This window comes from Homo sapiens, chromosome 11 (assembly GCF_000001405.40).
Source record: "Homo sapiens chromosome 11, GRCh38.p14 Primary Assembly".
Lineage (NCBI taxonomy): Eukaryota > Metazoa > Chordata > Mammalia > Primates > Hominidae > Homo > Homo sapiens.
This window is the reverse complement of record NC_000011.10, coordinates 96,183,772-96,202,266: the sequence shown is the minus strand read 5'-3', so window position 1 is coordinate 96,202,266 and position 18,495 is coordinate 96,183,772. Positions and strand designations below refer to the sequence as shown.

The following is an 18,495-nucleotide window of genomic DNA, read 5'->3' as shown; positions in this document are numbered from 1 at the left end:
CCATTCTCCTGCCTCAGCCTCCTGAGTAGCTGGGACTACAGGCGCCCGCCACCACCCCCGGCTAATTTTTTTTTTTTTTTTTTTTTTTTGTATTTTTAGTAGAGACAGGGTTTCACCGTGTTAGCCAGGATAGTCTTGATCTCCTGACCTCATGATGCGCCTGCCTCGGCCTCCCAAAGTGCTGGGATTACAGGCGCGAGCCACCATGCCCGGCCGAAACATAATCAATTCTTACATGATTTTTTCTACTTCATCCACAATGGTAGAAAATAGACTCTTTTTCCTCCTGTGTGTGATTAACATGAGGCCTTCATGGTACTATACTTCCATTAGAGACTTTTTTTTTTTGAGATGGAGTCTCTCTCTGTCGCTCAGGCTGGAGTGTGGTGGCATGATATTGGCTCACTGCAACCTCCACCTCCCAGGTTCACGCCACTCTCCTGCCTCAGCCTCACAAGTAGCTGGGACTACAGGTGCCCGCCACCACGCTGGGCTAATTTTTTGTATTTTTAGTAGAGACGGGGTTTCACCGTGTTAGCCAGGATGGTCTCGATCTCCTGACCTCGTGATCCGCCTGCCTTGGCCTCCCAAAGTGCTGGGATTACAGGCATGAGCCACCACACCCCGCCCCATTTGAGACTTTTAAAATCCTTTTCTTAGGTCTTCATATGACTCCACTTGGTCTAAGCTTTTATACTCATAGACATTTTGATATATTCACAAATCCTTTTACTTTTTTGTCTACAAATAGGTCCTTGATATAAGCCATTCATGTGGAATAGTCCTAGTGGTCTCAGAATTTGAAACATATTGAACAAAACTCCAAACTAAGCGTAATTGTTTCTTAATCTAAATAGACTTCTAAAGCACCCAGAGCCTATGATGGAATTGTACATGGCAAAATGCTGTTATAATTGGGGAGGGAACGGTCCTTTTAGGCAATTAAACATCCTTCTCTTCTTCCCTTTCCTCCTCCCCTTACTCTCTCCTACTCTTTCTCCTTTTCTTCTTGAATACCCAGAGATTCACTTCCCTTTGTAAATATTTGAGTCTACATAGTAGAAATGTTTTATAGATCTATCCATCAAGTAGGTTCAAGTAATTATGGTAAGTAGTTATATGGAACTACCTAAATATCTATTGCTCTGATCTGTCCATGAAGATCCCTTACAATGTATTTCAGATTTCGTGGCCTAAGTAAATGAGACTTTTTTTTCTTTTTTATTAAAAAACAGAAGCTTTTTTTTCCCCCAAGAGTTAAATGTCATTGTAATCTTATGAAATATTGCTTTCAAAACATAAAACCAAAGAAATTCAGAAATAAAGCTTATCATCCTGGTTGTTTTTGTTATATAGAATTGTCTTTACTATTTTTCCCCTCTCATTGTCACCTCTTGGTTCATGGTATGTGATTAAGAGATGGTACCATTGCCCTCTGATTGCCTTGCTTCTGGTGCTCCCTCTCCTGAAGTGGCCCTTTTTAGTCAGATCCTTAAAGCTATTTCAACATTTCTCCACCCGTATCCCCCCACCACCCTCCACCAAATACACATGCTTTGCACTATTACAGATGTTAACTTGTCAAAGTCCAGAAGCTCCTGAGAAGTCAGCAGGAAGACATGGTGGATTGAGGCATAGCCATGACCTGAAGGAAATAATTAAAATGCAGGAGGGTTGCTGTGAGGGACACACTAACTTAGTACATCTTTCTCTGATGAAATCTGTCAGGCTCTTAGTTTACCAAATGTGGGAACTTTTGTGCTTGTTTTGCTCTTAGGCACAGGATAGGTCCCAGGAGAGATTCCATTCATTCCTCAAAGAGAAACAGAAGAAAAAGAATGAAGTCTCACTAATAGCTTGTTAGAAGAATTGTGTTTACTCTGAGATCTGACTCAAGAAATGGACATGGAATCTCAGCAAATCCAAGCTACAGATGATATCTGTTTTGCAGCTGGGCCATGCAGAGCTCAGCCATGGCTTCTCCTGACCAAGGGATGTTAAAGTTATCTAGAACATTAAGAGTGTTAATGAGTATATACAGAGAGACTAATTGTGAGCAAAATCATTAATTAGGGTCATGTTTACATTTTTATTGTGGCTAATCTTTCATCTGTTCGGACTAAGGTTCTTACTGTGTTCCAAAGGTGATAATAATATAACTAAATTCCTCTGATACTAAAGTAGTCACACTTTTATTTCTTAATTTACCTGAGTTGATTCCTGGCCACCCTCCCCCTCCTTATCACACTAGAGATAATTTTCAGTAATGTTTTCTTTATGCTGTTAAGTGATTCCCTTCCCAGTGGAGCGAGAAGGTGAATGTACTTAATGAAATGATTGATCTGCATTTTGGCATTCGTCCAAATTGATAAAATATAGAGGGACTTTTCCATTCATTATTTTGTTCATCATTTATAGAAAATGCGGAAACTTTTGGGTAGGTTTGGCTTTCTGCCAATTAATGTTGTCACTGTTTTCCTCTGATGCATATTCACATGAGTCAACAGAAACCTTTTCGACTAAGCAGAGTTAGATTTAGCGAGACTGCGTACATCACGGTATTTATTGGATGTGGAAACCTAAAATAGGAGGGGCGTGGTAAAACCTCAGACAGAAGTACTGACAAAGAGTTTCCCCAAACAATAGAACCGCCATAGCCCGCACACATTCCCAGGACACATTCTACAGAATGGACAAAGAAATACTCATCTGTGTCATCACTTGCTCAAAAAAAAAAAAAAAATTATCTGAAACATGGAAGGTATATCAATCAGATTTGCATTTGGCTGTGAGTGATAGAAAATGCAAAATAATAGTAGGTTAAAATACATAAATTTTTTTTCTGTCTCTTGTAAAAGAAGTCCCAGAGTAGGTAAACCAGGAGGGAGACACTTAACAGTATCAGGGATCCACGTTCCGTCTCTTCTGCGGTTCTGCCCACCTTATCATGGGGCTTCCCTGTCACGGACAAGATGGCTGCTAGTGGTCCAGCTGGGAAGAAGGAGAAAATACCTGCAGCAACAGCAACAAGGACTACCCCTCTCTTTTTTTTTTTTTTTTTTTTTTTTTTGAGACGGAGGCTTGCTCTGTTGCCCAGGCTGGAGTGCAGTGGCGCCATTTTGGCCCACTGCAAACTCTGCCTCCCAAGTTCAAGCAATTCTCCATCTCAGCCTCCTAAGTAGCTGGGATTACAGGCGCCCGCCAGCATGCCCGGCTAATTTTTTTGTATTTTTATTAGAGATGGGGTTTCAGCATCTTGGCCAGGCTGGTCTTGAACTCCTGACCTTGTGATCCGCCTGCCTCGGCCTCCCAAAGTGCTGGGATTACAGACGTGAGCCACCGCACCCAGCCAGGACTACCCCTCTCTTTAAGGACCCTTCCCAGAAGTCACACACGATACTTCCAGGTAAATCTTAGTCACTCTGTCACCCCTAGCTGCTAGAGTGGCTGGAAAATGTAGCCCTTATTTTGGGTGGTTATGTGACCAGCCAAAAGTAAGGGATGGTACGACTCATGAAGAAGGGAAGAAGGGATATTGTTCCTCCTTCCGGAACTTTGCCAGTGTTCTCACCTTTTCCCGGAAGCCTAATCATCTCTCCGTGGGCAGTGACAGACTCTCTACTCTGTCTGTTCACAGAATACCTGGGGTAGGTTTTTCAGTTTCAGGAGCCACACTACAAAATAGATACATGTGAACCAGTAAATTCAAGAGTAAATTACCAGAATGGTTGTGAGGACTGGGACCCTCCATCTACCCCCATGATGATTACAAAACTTGAATGGACCATATCATCTGAGGAACAAATGAGGGAACTGGTGATGTTTAGCTGGGAATTTCTGTATGCCTTTCTCAGAAAAGACATAGGGAGGACATATCTGACTCAGAATGTTTGACAAGCGATTCTGTGTGTTCCTAGCTGGTAGAATTAGAACATGCCCCAAATCAGTGAGCCTAACTTCAGGCAACACGTAAAGGAGCATTTTCTGTTTCTCACAGCAGTCCTGAGGTCCAATAAGCTATCTCTGGGGAAAGCAAACTCACTGTCATCAAAGGGATTGAAGCAGTGTCTTTAGGGTCAATTGATAGCCTTCTAACATGTCTTCCTGGCTCTAGTCTTAAGACCTATCCAGACCATTCTCCATATCCCCATTGGTGATCTTTTTAAATGCAAAAGAGAACATATCACTTCCCAGTTTAATCCTTTTCAATGGTTTTCCATTGTCTGCCAATCTCTCAGTTCCTCTTGACCTGGTGTTTACTTACTCATTGCAAGTTTCTAGATAAAATTTTCACTTCCTCAAATATGTCAAATCTCTCTCCTGTCCAGAACTTTGATTATGTTGTTCCCTCTTTTAGAACACTCTCCTCCATCCTTACTTTTACACTTCACCTGGCTGAGTCCTACACATCCAGAATCATTACTTCCCCTCTGAAGTCTTCACTTCTATCCCCTCAGAGGAGGGATTCTTATGACTTCTGGTACCTCCCTTGGCCCAGCACTTAATATAATTGCTGCAATTGCTTATTTAATGATGTGCCTGTTGAGCTAGACTGTAAGCTCCCAGTAGGTAGGGTCTGGTATCCTCACACACTGCACACTTCCTGGCACATAGTAGGTGACTGATCATAATGTTGAACATGGTAGAAGGTAATCAGGCATCAGCTGAAGGGAGATACAGGTTAAGGATGAGAGAGAAGCAATAAAGATACGAGAAATGAGAAATGGAAAACAAATAAGAGATTTTCTTTTGCCCTAGTCCCCCTTATATTTTTTCTGGAGTGGCAGGATTGAAGCATGTGAAACAATTGCTTCTCTGGCTACTTGGATTGCCTCCCAGCCCCCAAAGAGTCAGAGCAACTGTTACAGTGGAATTTGAAATACTAGCTATGTTAATGGAGGTCAGTATTACTAAGGCTGGATTTACAGCTACAAAAAAGTGACCCAGATTTATTTTCTATTACTCAAAATTAGTTATGTCGAAGGAGGAGCAAGGGGCTTCTTGGTCTATAGACTATTGCTAATGTGTCTCTGGACATAAATCTTCTTTGGTTTTCATTATCTATTCTGGAGAAAGCAATGGTGACTCTGAGTAAGTGGGGCAGCAATTCAGGTCTTTACCACACCACATGCAGCATTTGTACAGGAGTAGCTTTGGCCTCCCAGACCTTAGTGACCTGGGCAGGCCACCCATCTCTGCCTTTTCTTGGAGTGATTTTTACAGGCACAGAGTAAACTCCTGCCCTCAAATACCTACTGCCATTTGCTTCCTGATGCTTAACATTCCACATTTATAGAAAAGGCCTCAAATATAAGGACCACAATAATAACACGTGATTTAAATTCACATAGAGATGTACTGGCTCCTATTGAAAAAAAAAAAAAAAAGCCGAGGGTGGTTGGGGGAGAACCATTGGACTATAGAAGGTATAGGTGGGGAGAACAAAAAAAGAATGGTTTGAAACAGAAAAGACTATGAATTCTAAGCAGGCTGAAAAGATAGAGAATAAAATACATTTAATTTATAATTTTGCTTAGCCTTATTTACCCTAGACATTACAGACAGAAGTGATTTCTTGTTTAGGGTTTAAGGGGCAGCCGAGAAGTAATACAGACCTAAGGAGTGAACCTCCTGCTACCAGCATGGGGAGGGGGCATCCCCTGTTATTCACTAGAGCTACTGTGGTATTCTCCAGCCTGGTATTGCCCGTAAATGGGCAAGACACACAGCTTTGCATTTGCATTATTTCTGATTGACTTCAATGGTCAATCCCTGCATGTGATTTTTTTACACGTCTCCTTTTCTGTATCCACGGATCATCAGAAAGTCGATATCCAGGAAAACAAGATAGCATTTCCCCAAGAGGAGGGGTTTTATGTTCATGCAGCCCAAAACAGTGGTCACTTTGAAAAAGGTTTTTTAAGCCGAGTCCTTGTCTGAAGCTGACTGAAAATGACAAACCTTTCCTAAAATGAAAATCACCGAAGCAACTGGGATGAACTATTTATCTTCCTGATCACTGCAAGGAAACACACGAACAATGATCTCATTGTATCCTCCATTTTGATTTTTAAAGGCATGCATTCACTAATAATGTGTGTAGAAAACATTAATTAACAATAGTCACTTTTACTTACATTTACTCTCTAACAATGTAATTGTTAGTTTACTTTTTTAAATGTTCAGTTTCTTCATCTTTGTTGCAGATATGTATCTATGCAAGGAAATGATACATTTTAAAATGTATAGATAATCAGAGAGGTTTAATTCTCTTGACATATACAATAACAGTGTTTCAATTCTATAAACACAACCCACTGGTACTATTAACCTACTTGCTTTAGGGATTAAGGGAGAGAGAGAACATTAACTCTTTTGTGACTTACTGTAAATCAGCACGAGAGGAAAAAATGGTGGAACATGTCGTTTTTGCTACATGGATAGTAGTTTGGTAGTCACAGTATAATTTTCTCATAAACTGCTAATAGCCCATTTGCAAGTAAACAGATCTGGCCCTTGCCTTTTGACCAAGTCTAAAAGACTTTACAATTATATGCACACAGGTCGTCCATTCTATGGAGGTATAAGTCCTAGTTGGTTACCTGGTGCAAGTTTCACCTTGCTTCTTTTGGATCATAGTATATCATGCCTCACTCTTTTTCTGCTTTCTGCCTGTATGTTTCGTAGCAGAGATTGAGTCAATATTTTCTTGGTGAAACAGACACCCAGAAGGCACAGAGAATTTATATTTAGTTTTCTGAGTTTTTGAACTGATGAAAGAATCACATTTGTCTTCCTCTGTATTTTTCTGGATGGATGAAGAACTCTGCAATCCCTGGGTTCTTGATGGAAGTTCTTCCTCTGAGCTTTCCTCCTTCAGCCACTTATCCCCTTTGGGTGCTCTTGGGAAAATATTCTTACCCCACACTGAAGCTCCCCAGTACTATCAAGCAGTGAATTTAGGTGTTCCTGTAAACATGGGTAAAATCTAGGAGAGCACTGTGGCTTAATGTGTAGATTCATAGGGCTTTGCAGAGAGTGACACTGTTTTTCTTTTCTTTTCTTTTCTTTTTAATTTGAATGCATGAATATTCAGTAGGATGACTTGTGGTTCTATCAGAGGTCAAGTCAATAGGAGAAAGAAAGCCTATGACTGAGGTAAAATGTGAAGTAGAAAGACTTGGTTTATATAACTTAGATGTCTATACTGTTCAAAATGCTTAGCTCTTCTAATTTCATTTGCCCTCATAGACACAGTCAGAAAAACAAGTTCAAGATGTGAATATTTTTAATCTGTTTTCCAAGCATATGTATCAAAGAATGGTATCTATTGTCATTAAGAATTTTTAAGCCTTTCATTCTAAATATAAAGCCTCACCTATTTGACAGTGTTCCTTTAAATGTCAGAGAAGCTGGAGAGGTTGAGGGGCAGGGAGGGATCATGAATTGAACCTCAGAAGGATTTTAATGCTTTCCCTTCGGTGGTGCCTTTTCTTCCTGAGAATAAAGAAAGGGAAAGGAGCCAGTGGACTCAGCCCTATAGCAACATTTTTCCCCAAGGAATTTTGTATTTAGTTCTTGTGCCTTTGGCTAATAAAGAAGAGGCACATTTAGCTCCTGTGAACAAAAGAAGGCAACATTTCAAAATGTGGTTATTTTGCTTGTAGATTTTCTAGATTTTATCTCATCCAACTCAGGTTGTAAACTAAAGAGAATAAATTATTTAATCCAACAAATTTATTCTTTCCCTGCAGTAAACTGTTTTGCATAAAGGAGGCTTGTTTTTTGCTCAGACAAAATGAAACAGGAAATTATCTAGCAGATTCAAACAGAGGAGAGAGTCACTCTACAAAATTTGAGCCCCTAGCTACTTCCTTTTCCAAATTATCTGGAGAGTTCTCTAAACACTCACCTTTACTTTATTCATATGTAAGCTTCAACTATGTATACACAGTATTGCCAGTTCAGACACTGGGACTGAAGTGACCCATTAATTGAATAGCCCGACCTGTCTAGTTAATCACCACTTCCCACTCCCCAGACTGCCCACCCCAGCCTCCAGTTCAATTGACCATTTGTTTGCATGAATGTATTGAACTGACCACCTGGCCAGCTATTAGAGTCTCGGCCTTTCTTTTATTTCTGCAACTATAATTTTTTGTTTCTTATTTTGAGGCCAGTTCTAGATCGTTTACCATTTGACGGATAGGCCTATGCTTTGTCTCATTGAGTTCCACTTAGACAAACAGTAAGAAGGACATAAAAAGGATGCTTGGATCTTGATAGTAGGAGATTGGGATCCTCTCCACTCTGGGCACTCTCCCCTCTGCAGACACTGCTACAGTGAGAAGTAAAAAGGAACAAAGAAAAGAGAAATGAACCATATGGTGGTAGAATTTGTCAGCTACTTTTGATATGTTTCTTAAGATGCAGGTCAAAGTAGTATACACAGACATTTAAAAATAAGGAGACTGTTTGGCTAAAGTAAATGGATAAGTCAAATATGTGTTTCTTGCATTTCATAAGAAAAAGGATAAAAACTAAAGAAAAATAAAGCATCTTGCTCTTCAAAGAAAAAATTCCTTTTTTTTTGTTACACGGGAGAGCACTTCATTTGAAATTGGTAAATATATTGCTGATTTGCATATGTTCCAGAAAATACAATTTGTCTTTTTGAATCACACAGAATTCACTGTTTTATTACTGTGTCTTCTTATTTCTGGAGCTAAAGATGTTATACAGATAGGATAGCTCACTAAAATCTATCAGCATATCTTTAACGTAGTGTTCTGCCAAGTAGAGATTGCAAACTGATCAAACTGATAGTGTCTTTCTAGCTGTGGAAACACAATGCCACACAATTTCTATTCCCCAGACACATTTTTTTTTGTTGTTGTTGAAATGGAGTCTCGCCCTGTCGCCCAGGCTGGAGTGCAATGGCATGACCTCAACTCACTGCAACCTCCGCCTCCCGGGTTCAAATGATTCTCCTGTCTCAGCCTCCTGAGTAGCTGGGATTACAGGGGCACCCACCACTATGCCCAGCTAATTTTTGTATTTTTAGTAGAGATGGGGTTTCACCATATTGGTCAGGCTTGTCTCAAACTCCTGACCTTGTGATCCGCCCACCTCAGCCTCCCAAAGTGCTGGGATTATAGGCCTGAGCCACCGCACCCGGCCCCAACACCATACTTTAATCAGTGGAAGATGGCAAGAGCCAGAGAATGAATAAAATGTTTCCTGAACCACTTATTTGGGTATTAATCGTACACCCACAATGTGATTCCTAGAGTTCACAGTCTAATAAATTATTTTAAGGCATACGCTCCACCAGAATTTTGATTTTAAAATAGTTCAATTCTGCTGCACACAAAGGCAGTGTCAGATAGCTTGCACGAAGCAAACCAGGTAAATCTCCATGATTCACGGTCACTAGGCAATGTCTAGTTGCAGTTGATCATTCATGCTGGCATATGTCCCAAAGATAGGGCATCCTAAGTATAGATAACCGGCCTGCCCTTAATAAGACTGGAAGGCAGTCTTATTCTGCCTCCAGATAATTTGAAGACTGAGAGTAGTTAGAAGGCGTCATTCCAAGGAATGCTAGCATATAGACAAATTTCTTCCTGATCTTTTGAAAACAATTATCTTCAAACAGTTTGACTGTGCTAGCAAGACTTAAGATGGAAGACAGGGACATGATTATAAAATATCAAAATTCCTCATCATAGATCACCTCCATTTTTCTTAGAATCATAGATTCTTATGATTGGAAGCATCCTTGGAAGTCTTTGTACATTTAAGAAATCTGTGTCCCAGTGATATTAACTCCTGACCTAGCATTCTGCACCTGATGGGCTCCTTCTTCCTGGGACACAATTTAGGGAAACAGACCTGTCACAGTGACGTTCCTTGTTATGAAGGATCACAGCTGGGAATTCTAAGAACTTGGTCTTGGAGAGCTAGCAAGTGTTGCATGCACCTTTTCTCAAAAGTGAGAGCAAATCGCATTCTTCCCAGAAACCACATGATTCCCTAACTGCCCATCCAACCCACCATGTTTTAGTGCCCCAGGTTCCCAGCCCTGTTTTCCAGCCAGCCTCGACCCTCGGCTTTGCAGAAAGCTCACCCTCACTTGACTTCAAAGCCTCTACTTTCCTCCTTTAGACTCTGCTTATCCATGAGATGGGAAACTGCAGACGTGTAACCTTCACATAGTTAGGATTTGTGGGAAAATACCTTGTATACTACCCAGTTGGAAAGCGTTCATTGCGGGAATTCCTGCCAGAACAGCCCAATCCAGTGGCCTTCCAGCTGGATTTCAACACTGTCACTGACAGAACTCACATGATGATCCATTTCCTGAGTCTCTTCTCTTACAACTCCATGTGTTGGTCCTAGACAAGAACTTGGGTCTACATCCAGTTAGCTGAACCTCCTTTCACATAGTAGAATTTCAACTAATTCCATTCTTTTGTGGTTTTTTTTTTTTTTTTGAGACAGAGTTTCGCTCTGTTGCCAGGCTGGAGTGTAGTGGTGTGATCTCGGCTCACTGCAAGCTCCGCCTCCTGGGATCACGCCTTTCTCCTGCCTCAGCTTCCCGAGTAGCTGAGACTACCGGCGCCCGCCACCATGCCCGGCTAATTTTTTATATTTTTAGTAGACGAGGTTTCACCGTGTTAGCAAGGATGGTCTCCATCTCTTGACCTCGTGATCCAGCCACCTCAGCCTCCCAAAGTGCTGGGATTACGGGCTGAGCCACCGCTCCCGGCCCTTTTTTTTTTTATTATTGTTATTTTTTTGAGACGGATTCTCGCTCTGTCGCCCAGGCTGGAGTGCAGTGGTGTGGTCTCGGCTCACTTGCAAGCTCTGTCTCCCGAGTTCAAGCGATTCTTCTGCCTCAGCCTCCTGAGTAGCTGGGACTACAGGCATGCGCCACCACACCCAGCTAATTTTTGTATTTTTAGTAGAGATGGGGTTTCACCGTGTTGGTCAGGATTGTCTCAATCTCTTGACCTTGTGATCCACCCGCTTCAGCCTCCCAAAGTGCTGGGATTACAGTCGTGAGCCACTGCGCCCGGCCTAGTTCCATTCTTATGCTTCCCCTTTGATGACTCCTCTACTACCTAAAAATCCTCACTTCTTTGCATCTTTCTTACATAATAGTAGTTTAGACTCTTTCTGCATCTATAGCCTGGTATTTCCTCTGAACAGGTATCAGTTTGGCAATCCTCCTTCTAAAAGGGGGTACACAAAACTGAATGCTATGTTGCCAATATGGTGTGACAAGAAGAGATTAGAGAAAGACTAACCTTATAAATGCAACCTCAGATTACATTAATTGTTTTGGCAGCTACATTGATTGACTAGTATTGAAATTACTGTCAGCTAAAACTCCCTGTACCCCATTGTCTCTTTCACAATAGGCCCTCAGTAAAAATTTGATAACTTGAGTTACATTAAATGTTTTTACACATGAGACCCCCTGCTAGATCACTTCTCTCCAATTCTGCTCATTTTGTACAACTGATATTTTATGTCCATGAAGAGGGATTTACATTTATCCCCGTTAAATGTCATCTCTTTAGGGCTGGCTCATAGTTTCAGTTTGTTGAGATCATTTCTATCCTGATTGTTACCCCAAATATTTTTATTGGCCCCAGTTCCAGGTAATTGATAAATTTATTCTGCATGCGTTCATAAATTTCACTAAGTCATCAACACAAAGTCTTCTGTAAGACTGGGAGACATCAGCTCCCTGCCTTACCATAAGTGACCTGTGGTTTGTCATTCTTTCATGGATTGGCTGTAGATATGGATGTATAACTCATTACAAATCCATCTAAAAGAGGTGGCTAGTAACATCATGGATTCTGTGGGCCAGTAAACCTTGATTTCAAAATTTCATTCTTCCCCTCATTAACCTTCCCTGGGACAAGTTCATTAAACTTTCTCATGAACAGATCCCCTCATCTGCAACAGTACTTCCTTTCTAGGGCTGTTGGGTGGATTAAATGAGGTAATGCCTAAGAAGTCTGGATCAGTGCCTAACACATGTATATCCACCATCAATCTCTCCCCAAAAACCTCACCTCACATCAAATGTCCACATTTTGTATACTAGGATATTGCAGACTCCATGTTCATCACTAAAACTAAAAATTCAGTGCTCTATTAACATGTCTTCATCCATGTTGGCTTTTAAAGTTTCCTCTTAACAAATTTTCAGTGTGAAATCATTCCTTGAAAAAGGGAGTAAAAAAATAGGAATTAAGATTTTTTTTATCTTTGTGTCATCTAGTGACACCTACTTTTAACTTCAGCCATATACAATCCTAGATTCTTTGGCTCTGAACTTTAGAAGAAAAATTCTTTTAGTCCTCTTCAATATTTTAGAATAATAAATTAAGCCAACTGAATAAAAATATAAGTATCCCAGTTCCAGTTTTTAAAGCTATTTCCTCTTGTGATGGATTCTTTTCTGAATGAAGAATTAGCTTCCCACAGATGTTCCTGAATATTTCAGCAAGGACACCTACAATCAGATCTAAACAACCAAAACAAAATGCCCAACAAACAAAGTAGCAAGTAGATTTCACATTCTAATAGCTTATGTTGTATGTCCACAGAATGAATATAATGAAACATGACATGAATGAGTAAATCTGTCAGAAGAAAAACAGATTTGCTGTTGCAAATTAACTAGTAGTGCTGCAGTTTCAAAGCTGTAGATTTTCAGTTACCTGAAATTAGTCATAGTGGTAAGAGACTACTTTTCTTTCTAGTCTATCCCGCAATAGTGTTTAAGCTTATTTCAGGTATTTCAAATGGAGAATTCAAAGCATCCACTTTAAATGAGTCTTAAAAGTCTATTCTCTTCTAGGAGTAACTATTGGTATGTAAAAACACTACATTAATACATAAAGATTTCCTAGGAAGTAAATTATAAGCACGAAACTTGTGCCATACAAAATGGCTACTTGTTTAAAAAATTGTTCAGAGAAGTCAGATTAGGTCCTATTGGCTATAATTGGATAATGGAAATCCATTTTATATGCATTACCAAACTCTCATCAAATCATACCTCAAGGCACCAAGAGGCAAATCACCTCTTGTATTAAACTAGATATGGCCGGTGAATAATGGGTGCAGAGGTGGTCATTTCCATGAGTGGAACCAGATATAGAAAAAAAAAAACAAAACAGTTTCTAGCATTGAGCTAGAAGCTTCTCTTTACTAATAAGATGTGACTGAATTCCAGGAATATTTGTTCAGTTAAAAGAGTAATGGTTTCTCCTCAGTGGCTCTTTGGACATTTGAAATCTTTTGCTTATTTGTTTAGCAGAATTTTTTTTTTAATGTTGAACAAATGCACAGCAGCTTTGGTGGTGCTCTGACCAGCCCCATAGAATGCTGCCTCAAAAGTTTTTCCTGTGACACTTCCTTTCAGAGATGTTTCACATGTGCTTTTTTCCTTCTGCCCACACTCTGTGTTCACCACCAACTTTCCATTGTCAGTCCCCTCCCACACACAATTTCACTCTCTCATACACTCCCTGAATCTTACAGCAGCTCAAACTACCACTCACGTTTTCATTACATTATGGGAAAGGAAAAAAAAAAACTGACTTCCTCAAAAAGGACATAAAGTTCATTTTTTAAAGGACTTAACGTTTTCAAAAAGATTTTCTTTTGTAAGATCTCCTCATTCCTGCCTGTTGTACTTGCCATAATAGGGACATACAGGCTTTCTCTTTGCTTGTGGGACCCCCAAGCCATTTTTCTCTGTTGACTGGTTTTCTCATCAGAAGTTCTTAATTATGAGTCAATAAAATAATACTCTACAGTCACAGCCCCAGGGAAGGGAAGGATTGCTTAAGTATCTAGGTTATTCAGGGAAGGATGGGGGTAGAGAGAGATGTGTTGGCTTTCCATTTTCTATTCAAGCAAAAGCAGTTTTAAAATCTGAAATTAGAAAGGTTATAGGAACTGCTTAAATCAGACTTTCATGTCTGTGTTATAAGCTTCCAACTTGGGAAAGCTTAAGAAAAAGAAACCTAAGGTTTCAAACATGTGCTTGTTTCAAAGCACAAACTTGGCGACTTCTCACATTGCTTTCACTAAACCTAAGAGTTCTCATACAAGTGAGGTCTGTTTTCATCACTTTCCAGCAAAGATTAAATAGCAGGGTGCTGTAGTGATGATTCTGGTTACTGAGATTTCATTGCCAAGTCAGAAACATCAGAGGGACAACTCCATTTAACCATAGGCCAAAGATACCTCTGCCACATGAAGGCCAGGCCAAATGCCAGCCGAATGAATCAGTATGCACAGTGCTGGAGTCAGAAGCAGACACCTCTTCTGGAGTGCTTAGTCCATAGACTGGAGTGAAAAATATCAGAGCAGAGGAGAAGAACAGTAATAGGTGGACATTCCTAAACACGACAGTTATTTAAAACTTTTTTTTTTTTTTTGAGACAGAGTTTCACTCTGTCGCCAGGCTGGAGTGCAGTGGCACGATCTCGGCTCACTGCAACCTCTGCCTCCCTGGTTCAAGCGATTCTCCTGCCTCAGCCTCCCGAGTAGCTGGGGTTCCAGTCACATGCCACCATGCCCAGCTAATTTTTGTATTTTTACTAGAGATGTTGGCCAAGATGGTCTCCATCTTCTGACCTTGTGATCCACCACCCTCGGCCTCCCAAAGTGCTGGCATTACAGGCGTGAGCCACCGCACCCGGCCTGTTTAAAACTTCTTACTCACTTTGGATAAATGATGCTGGGAGTTCAAGCATTTACTTCCAAGACAACCTGGGATAGGATCAGCAGTGATTCCTTAAGTGAAGCTACGTTTATACCTCAATTCTTTTGTTTATTCATTCATCTGTTTAAAATAAAATATTTCTAGAATACCTACTAAGTGTCAAGAAAATACCAAATATATTTCTTTTGGCATCTAGGTAATGAGTTAATTTGAAAGTCTGAGAAAACCAGCAATCTGGAATAACAGTGGCTTTTATTAATCATCTGCTATGTGCCACATTTTATATGTTATCTCATTTAGCTATCACACTTAGCTTCTAAAAAAGATGGGGAGAAAGTATCCAAATGAATGTGCAGAGACAACTTGATTCACAGAGGTAAGAAAGACCCCTCAGACACCCACTGAAGATACTGGGAATTTCAAATAAGGTTAAAGGTACATTACTCAGGGCACCAGGAATGTTCAAAAAATGGACCACAGTTCAGTAGCAAGGAAGCCTCTAGGCACTATTCACATTTGTTTGAGTCACAATTTTAAAATGAGTGAAACTTGTGTCTTTGAATTCAGTATCATTTACCAAATCATACTGTGCTTGTGATATTTGTGCATATGGTAGCCTCTGTGTAAAAAGCTTCTCTCTATGAGATACACTGGCTAATAGTTGTTAAGGGGCCCGGCTCTAAAGCCAGGGGCTATTGGGTTCAAACTGCCACTCTAACACTCACCTACTATGTAGCCTTGAGAAAGTGATTTCAAGCTCTCTCTATCGGTTTCTCATCTGTAAAATGAGGATAATGCTACTTCCTACATAGTGGAGTTGTGAAAATAAAATGCATGTGAGTTACTTAACATAGTAGCCAACATTCACAAAATAATTATCATTGCATCTGCCCCTCTTTTCATCACATTTTTTTTTGAGACGGATTCTCACTCTTGTTGCCCAGGCTGGAGTGCAATGGCACAATCTCAGCTCACCGCAACCTCCACCTCCCGGGTTCAAGAGATTCTCCTGTCTCAGCCTCCTGAGTAGCTGGGATTATAGGCATGCACCACCACGCTTGGCTAATTTTGTATTTTTAGTAGAGACAAGGTTTCTCCATGTTGGTCAGGCTGATCTCAAACTCCCGACCTCAGGTGATCCGCCCACCGTGGCCTCCCAAAGTGCTGGGATTACAGGCGTGAGCCACTGCACCCGGCCTTCATCCCACTTTTATAGTACACTTTTGTGTATCTGTTCTTTCTAGGGACTCAAAAAAGTACTTTGATTCTCCTGTGATTTGATAGGCAATTTGTAAAAGCTAATATTTAATTCATTTAGGAGCAAAACCTAATTATGCTTTATTGCTGTATAATTTCCTCTAGTGTGCAGGTATGTGATGCAGCTTATTAAAGTAAGAAAGTAAACTATGCTGTCTATCAGAATGGGAGAATTTGTGGGTTCTATACACTTGGGGTCCTCAAACTGTAAGGTGTAAATAAATCCTAGGTCTCGTTAAAATGCAGATTCTGACCCAGTAGGTCTGGGGAGGGGCTGGGAGTCTGTATTTGAAAGGTGCTTTCTGTTGGTACCTATGCTGTGGATCTGTGCACCACGCATTGATGCTATACATATTACATTAAACTGTGCCTCATCTGGATTGTGGCACAAGGTAAAATAGATGCAGGCTATCAAGGCTGAGAAAAATGTATAAAAACAAAGACCAGAAGACTGGAGGGCCCAAAAGAGGTGATGCATACACAAGGTTCTAAAGCCCAAGTCTGGACTCCATATGCACATTCAAATTTGAGGAACACTGAGCAGTAACATGCAAATCACCTGAGAATCTTGCTTAATCAGCTTCTCATTCAGCAGGTCTGGGGGAGAGGCTGAGAGTCAGCATTTCTTGCAAGTTCCCAGGTGATGCCAGTCTGCGGCCCACATGTTCATCTAGACCCCAAACTAGTAGCAATGTGTGTGGACAAGGCTGGGTAACAGGCATGAACAATCCTCCAGTCATGAGTAATTTCCTTGAGAGCAGTTGTTTTCTGTGGAAGACCCAGCGCTCAGCCTCCATGAACATGGTCGAGCCTCCCTGGAAAACACTGCCCTCCTATGCTAGCACCTGTGAAAACATATTGGAAACAGGCTATAAAGAGAGAAAAACCTACAGTGTGACACCTGGTCAGCCCACAGCTGTGCAACTGAGAGAAAGCAGACTGGTTTTAACACTTCACTGCTCCTTTTCTAGAAAGGCAGTTCCACCAAAGTCCTGTTATTTCTGACAACTGCGTGTAACCAAAAGTCCCTGAGGTGGTTGTAACACAGATGGAGTTTTGTCCTGAGTTTTGTCACTACGATAAGGAGCTCCACTGAGAGCAGCTCAGCCTCGGTGGACCATTTCTCACTCATACATCTCATAGATTTCTTTAAATCAGAGCACTCAAAGTCTTTATGTAGTGGATTTTGGGTGCCAATTGGATGAATAAAATCTAAACAGTATGAGGAAGGAACTCTTAAGTTTCTTCATTTCTTCCTATGATAGTTCTTCTGAGAGGGAGAAAAATCACAAACCCTCCCCAAATGACTTAGTGCCCAAGAGCGAATCCTAGACAAATTTAAAAAACATTTTTTGGGCTGGGCGCAGTGGCTCACGCCTGTAATCCCAGCACTTTGGGAGGCCGAGGTCTCACTTTTGGATCACGAGGTCAGGAGGTCGAGAACATCCTGGCTAACACGGTGAAACCCCGTCTCTACTAAGAATACAAAAAATTAGACAGGTGTGGCGGTGGGCGCCTGTAGTCCCAGCTCCTCGAGAGGCTGAGGCAGGAGAATGGCGTGAACCTGGGAGGCGGAGCTAGCAGTGAGCCCAGACAGCGCCACCGCACTCCAGCCTGGGAAACAGAGTGAGACTCATCTCAAAAAAAAAAAAAAAAAGTAAAATGACTATATTCAGAGTTGCTTGCATTCCATTTGGAATTTGAATAATCCATAGGCTCTGAATTATAAAGGGTTGAAATCGCCACCTTTACCATTGTTCATGCATTATTTTTATTTATTTATTTATTTATTTATTTATTTATTTATTTGAGATGGAGTCTCGCTCTGTCACCCAGGCTGGAGTGCAGTGGCATGATCTCGGCTCACTGAAACTTCTGCCTCCTGGGTTCAAGTGATTCTCCTGCCTCAGCCTCCTGAGTAGCTGGGATTACAGGTATGTGCCACCACGCCCACTAATTTTTACGTTTTTAGTAGAGACAGGGTTTCACCATGATGGTCAGGCTGGTCTCGAACTCCTGACCTCGTGATCTGCCCACCTCAGCATCCCAAAGTGCTGGGATTACAGGCGTGAGCCGCCGTGCCCAGCTTTATGCGTTTTTTTCTAATGTTGCTTTTTAGGGCTTTGCTTGGCCTGACCCAGTGACAAGAGATGTAGTGCTGCCCGGGAGTACCATCCTCAAAGGACAGAACTGAGTGCATAATCTCTCCCTGTTCAGTAGAGTGCAAATGCAAACTTTTGGCCTCCACATATTTGAGGTAGCTTTTCCATAGTTGGTCCAAAACAAACCTGCAGATTTATTTCTGAGTCCCACATCTAATTCTAGTAAATGTACTGGGTATGCTCATTTCAATTAGATAATATATTAGTAAAAAGTTCAGTAGGAAGGTAGGAAAAGCATGCTTATTAGGTTATAGAAATAGAGAAAAACAGTCATGTAAAAATGCAAAGTTGGGAGTATGTGGAACTCTGTAATTT

General features: G+C 41.0%; 1 protein-coding gene across 3 annotated transcripts in view, besides 1 other annotated feature; it reads left to right on the top strand.

Moving 5' to 3' along the window:
* MAML2 (mastermind like transcriptional coactivator 2) overlaps window positions 1-18,495 on the top strand; it is a 366,598-nt gene that overhangs the window by 140,929 nt on the left and 207,174 nt on the right. The gene's annotated exons all lie outside the window — the stretch shown is intronic.
* Window positions 14,348-14,407: an enhancer, noted in NCBI's record as "active region_5421". NCBI's record gives its function as "activates an Ori minimal core promoter by ATAC-STARR-seq in GM12878 lymphoblastoid cells {active_cell/tissue: GM12878}" and the evidence as "EXISTENCE:reporter gene assay evidence [ECO:0000049][PMID:35858748]".